The 6,040-nt window shown below is 41.9% G+C and overlaps 1 annotated feature.

The window, feature by feature from the left end:
• Window positions 4,173–4,809: an enhancer, noted in NCBI's record as "NANOG-H3K27ac-H3K4me1 hESC enhancer chr10:22802372-22803008 (GRCh37/hg19 assembly coordinates)". NCBI's record gives its function as "activates a minimal SCP1, AML or CMV promoter by ChIP-STARR-seq in naive H9 embryonic stem cells {active_cell/tissue: H9 hESC(naive)}" and the evidence as "EXISTENCE:reporter gene assay evidence [ECO:0000049][PMID:30033119]".

Genomic DNA, 6,040 nt, shown 5'->3' on the forward strand with positions numbered 1-6,040 from the left:
TGGCTAGCCAGTTTTCCCAGCACCATTTATTAAACAGGGAATCCTTTCCCCATTGCTTGTTTTTGTCAGGTTTGTCAAAGATCAGATGCTTGTAAATGTGTGATGTTATTTCTGAGGCCTCTGTTCTTTTCCATTGGTCTATATATCTGTTTTGGTACCAGTACCATGCTGTTTTGGTTACTGTAGCCTTGTAGTATAGTTTGAAGTCAGGTAGGGTGATACCTCCAGCTTTGTTCTTTTAGCTTAGGATTGTCTTGACTATGCAAGCTGTTTTTTGGTTCTATATGAAATTTAAAGTAGTTTTTTCCAATTCTGTGAAGAAAGTCTGTGGTAGCTTCATGGGGATAGCATTAAATCTATACATTACTTTGGGCAGTATGGCCATTTTCACAATACTGATTCTTCCTATCCATGAGCACGGAATGTTCTTCCATTTGTTTGTGTCCTCTTTTATTTCCTTGAGCAGTGGTTTGTAGTTTTCTGTGAAGAGGTCCTTCACATCCCTTGTATAATACAAGGAATAAATCCCTTGTATTCTACAAGGAATAAATCCCTTGTATTCTACAAGGAATAAATCCCTTGTATTCCTAGGTATTTTATTCTCTTTGTAGCAGTTGTGAATGGGAGTTCACTCATGATTTGGCTCTCTGTTTGTCTGTTATTGGTGTATAGGAATGCTTGTGATTTTTGCACATTGATTTTGTATCCTGAGACTTTCCTGAAGTTGCTTATCAGCTTAAGGAGATTTTGGGCTGAGCCATTGGGGTTTTCTAAATATACAATCATGTCATCTGCAAACAGAGACAATTTGACTTCCTCTTTTCCTAACTGAATACCCTTTATTTCTTTCTCTCGTCTGACTGCCTTGGCCAGAACTTCCAATACTATGTTGAATAGGAGTGGTGAGAGAGGGTATCCTTGTCTTGTGCCAGTGTTCAAAGGGAATGCTTCCAGTTTTTGCCCATTTAGTATGATATTGGCTGTGGGTTTATCATAAATAGCTCTTATTATTTTGAGATATATTCCATTAATACCTAGTTTATTGAGAGCTTTTAGCATGAAGGGCTGTTGAATTTTGCCAAAGGCCTTTTCTGCATCTATTGAGATAATCATGTGGTTTTTGTCACTGGTTCAGTTTATGTGATGGATTATGCTTATTGATTTGCATATGTTGAACCAGCCTTGCATCCCAGGGATGAAGCTGACTTGATTATGGTGGAGAAGCTTTTTGATGTGCTGCTGGATTCGGTTTGCCAGTATTTTACTGAGGATTTTCACATCAATGTTCATCAGGGATGTTGGCCTAAAATTTTCTTTTTTTGTTGTGTCTCTGCCAGGTTTTGGAATCAGGATGATGCTGACCTCATAAAATGAGTTAGGGAGGATTCCCTCTTTTTCTGTTGTTTGGAATAGTTTCAGAAGGAATGGTACCAGCTCCTCTTTGTACCTCTGGCAGAATTCAGCTGTGAATCCATCTGGTCCTGGGCTTTTTTTTGTTGGCAGGCTATTAATTATTGCCTCAATTTCAGAGCCTGTTATTGGTGTATTCAGAGATTTGACTTCTTCCCGGTTTAGTTTTGGGAGGGTGTATGTGTCCAGGAATTTATCCATTTCTTCTAGATTTTCTAGTTTATTTGCATAGAGGTGTTTATAGTATTTTCTGATGGTAGTTTATATTTCTGTGGGATCGGTGGTGATATCCCCTTTATCATTTTTTATTGCATTGATTTGATTCTTCTCTCTTTTCTTTATTAGTCTTGCTAGCGGTCTATTTTGTTAATCTTTTCAAAAAATCAGCTCCTGGATTCATTGATTTTTTTGCAGGGATTTTTGTGTCTCTATCTGTTTCAGGTCTAATCTGATCTTAGTTATTTCTTGTCTTCTGCTAGCTTTTGAATTTGTTTGCTCTTGCTTCTCTAGTTCTTTTAGTCGTGATGTTAGGATGTCGATTTTAGCTCTTTCCTGCTTTCTTTTGTGGGCACTTAGTGCTATAAATTTCCTCTACACACTGATTGAAATGTGTCCCAGAGATTCTGGTATGTTGTGTCTTTGTTCTCATTGGTTTTATCTTTGTTTTATTTATTATTGTTTTTTTAATTATACTTTAAGTTCTACGGTACATGTGCACAATGTGCAGGTTTGTTACATATGTATACATGTGCCATGTCTCATTGGTCTTAAAGAACATCTTTATTTCTCCTTCATCTTGTTATTTACCCAGTAGTCATTCAGGAGCAGGTTGTTCAGTTTCCATGTAGCTGTGCGGTTTTGAGGGAGTTTCTTAATCCTGAGTTCTAATTTGATTGCACTGTGGTCTGAGAGACAGTTTGTTGTGATTTCTGTTCTTTTACATTTGCTGAGGAGTGTTTTACTTCCAATTATGTGGCCGATTTTAGAATAAGTGTGATGTGGTGCTGAGAAGAATGTATATTCTGTTGATTTGGGGTGGAGAGTTCTGTAGATGTCTATTAGGTCTGCTTGGTCCAGAGCTGAGTTCAAGTCCTAGATATATTTGGTAATTTTCTGTCTCACTGATCTGTCTAATGCTGACATTGGGGTGTTAAAGTCTTCCACTATTATTGTGTGGGAGTCTAAGTCTCTTTGTAGGTCTCTAAGAACTTGCTTTATGAACCTGGGTGCTCCTGTATTGGGTGCATATATATTTAGGATAGTTAGCTCTTCTTGTTCCATTGATCCCTTTACCATTTTGTAATGCCCTTCTTTGTCTCTTTTGATCTTTGTTGGTTTAAAGTCCGTTTTATCAGAGACTAGGATTGCAACCCCTGCTTTTTTTTGTTTTCCATTTGCTTGGTAGATCTTCCTCCATCCCTTTATTTTCAGCCTATGTGTGTCTTTGCACATGAGATCGTTCTCCTGAATACAGCACACTGATGGGTCTAGACTCTTTATCCAATTTGCCAGTCTGTGTCTTTTAATTGGGGTATTTAGCCCATTTACGTTTAAGATTAATATTGTTATGTGTGAATTTGATCCTGTCATTATGATGTTAGCTGGTTATTTTGCCCGTTAGTTGATGCAGTTTCTTTATAGTGCTGATGGTCTTTACACTTTGGCATGTTTTTGCAGTGGCTTGTCCCAGTCGTTCCTTTCCATGTTTAGTGCTTCTTTCAGGAGCTCTTGTAAAGCAGGCCTGGTTGGTGATAAAATCTCTCAGCGTTTGCTTGTCTGTAAAGGAATTTATTTCTCCTTCACCTATGAAGCTTAGTTTGGCTGGATATGAAATTCTGGGTTGAAAATTCTTTAAGAATGTTGAATATTGGCCCCCACTCTATTCTGGCTTGTAGGGTTTCTGCTGAGAGATCCACTGTTAGTCTGATGTGCTTTCCTTTGTGGGTAACCCGACCTTTCTCTCTGGCTGCCCTTAACATTTTTCCTTCATTTCAACCTTGGTGAATCTGATGATTATGTGTCTTGGGGTTGTTGTTCTCGAGGAATATCTTACTGGTGTTCTCTGTATTTCCTGAATTTGAATGTTGGCCTGCCTTGCTAGGTTGGGGGAGTTTTCCTGGATAATATCCTGAGGAGTGTTTTCCAACTTGGTTCCATTCTCCTGTCACTTTCAGGTACACCAATCAAATGTAGATTTGGTCTTTTCACATAGTCCCATACTTCTTGGAGACTTTGTTTGTTTCTTTTCACTCTTTTTTTCTCTAATCTTGTCTTCTTGCTTTATTTCATTAAGTTGATCTTCAGTCACTGATATCCTTTCTTCTGCTTGATTGATTTGGCTATTGAAGCTTGTGTATGCTTCACGAAGTTCTCATGGTGCATTTTTCAGCTCCACCGGGTCATTTATGTTCTTGTCTACACTGGTTATTCTAGTTAGCAATTCGTTTAACCTTTTTTCAAGGTTCTTAGCTTCCTTTCATTAGGTTAGAACATGCTCCTTTAGCTCGGAGGAGTTTGTTCTTACCCACTTCTGAAGCCTACTTCTGTCAATTCGTCAAACTCATTCTCTGTCCAGTTTTGTTCCCTTGCTGGTGAGGGATTGTGATCCTTTGGAGGAGAAGAGGCATTCTGGTTTTTGGAATTTTCAGCCTTTCTGCACTTGTTTCTCCCCATCTTTGTGGTTTTATCTACCTTTGGTCTTTGATGTTGGTTACCTACGGATGGGGTTTTGGTGTGGACATCCCTTTTGTTGATGCTATTCCTTTCTGTTTGTTAGTTTTCCTTCTAACAGTCAGGCACCTCAGCTGCAGGTCTGCTGGAGTTTGCTGGAGGTCCACTCCAGACTCAGGTTTGCCTGGGTATCACCAGTGGAGGCAGCAGAACAGCAAATATTGCTGCCTGATCCTTCCTCTGGAAGCTTCATCCCAGAGGGGCACCCGCCACATGCCAGCCACAGCTTTCCTGTATGGAGTGTCTGGCGGCCCCTACTGGGAGATGTCTCCCAGTCACGCTACATGGGGGTCAGGGACCCACTTGAGGAGGCAGTCTATCTGTTATCAGAGCTCGGACGCTGTGCTGGGAGAACCACTACTCTCTTCAGAGCTGTCAGGCAGGGATGTTTAAGTCTGCTGAAGCTGTGCCCACAGCTGCCCCTTTGCCCAGGTGCTCTGTCCCAGGGAGATGGGGGATTTATCTATAAGTCCCTAACTGGGACTGCTGCCTTTTGTTCAGAGATGTCCTGCCCACAGAGGTGGAATGTAGAGAGGCAGTCGGCCTTGCTGAACTGCGGTGGGCCCCGCCCAGTTCGAACTTCCCTGCAGCTTTGTTTACACTGTGAGCATAAAACCGCCTACTCAAGCCTCAGCAATGGTGGACGCCCCTCCCCCTGCCAAGCTCAATTGTCCTGGGTCGATCTCAGACTGCTGCGCTAGCAGCGAGAATTTCAAGCTAATGGATCTTAGCTTGCTGGGCTCCGTGGGCATGGGACCTGCTGAGCCAGGCACCGGAGGGAATCTCCTGGTCTGCCAGTTGTGAAGACCATGGGAAAAATGCAGTATCTGGGCAGGAGTGTACTGTTCTTCCCAGTACAGTCTCTCATGGCTTCCGTTTGCTAGGAAAGGGAAATCCCGTGACCCCTTGTGCTTCCCAGGTGAGGCGATGCCCTGTCCTGCTTTGGCTTGCCCTCCATGGGCTGTACCCACTGTCCAACCAGTCCCAATGAGATGAACCAGTTACCTCAGTTGGAAATGCAGAAATTGCCCATCTTCTGTGTCAATCTTGCTGGGAGCTGCAGACTGGAGCTGTTCCTGTTCAGACATCTTGCTGGAAATCCCCTTTTTTTTCAATTTTTAATTTTTTTTTATAGAGACAGGGTCTTGCTATGTTGCCCTGGCTGGTCTCAAACTCCTGGGCTCAAGCAATTCTCCCACCTTGGCCTCCCAAAGTGCTGAGATTACGTGCGTGAGCCACTGCGCCCAGCCTTCAAATTTACATGTCAGCCACAGGAAACCATGTGAAAGTGCTGTGCTTTCTCAAAACTCTCTGTCTACTGTTGTGACTTCCCAAAAAGTCCCTTCTTATGAGCCACTCCACACCCTTTTCTGGAATAGGATCCTTTAGATCTCAGGCAAAATAGCACCACTTCCTCTAGGCAGCTTTCTGTCTCCTCAAGAAATGGTGTAAATGCCTTGCCTAGATGCACCCATAGCACCTACACTTCCACCTGATAGCAGGAGATTTACAGAAAACAAAAAATAAGTATGCAAACCAACACACACGAAAAACATTACAGACCATGAGATGAATCTGAATGGAAATAAAGAGAGTATTATGATAAAGAATAATGAAACAACCTCCGTTTCACAGGATGTTCAGTATGAGAAGGAATGAGTGACATAAAGACTTCCAGGAAGGAGATTCCAATATCTGAGAACAGCAAAGAGAAACATCCTAGTTTGGAAAGAACTAGGTTTGTTTGAGAAATAGCAATAAATCAGGTATAGTTGGAGCACCGAGGGCACTGCTGGGTGATGGGGAGATAAAATCTAAAAAACAGGCAGGGACAAGATGATTTAAGCAAGGCCAGGCAAGTCATGTGGGGAGTGTGGATTTTATCCTAGTACTATGGGAA

This window comes from Homo sapiens, chromosome 10 (assembly GCF_000001405.40).
Source record: "Homo sapiens chromosome 10, GRCh38.p14 Primary Assembly".
Classification (NCBI taxonomy): domain Eukaryota; kingdom Metazoa; phylum Chordata; class Mammalia; order Primates; family Hominidae; genus Homo; species Homo sapiens.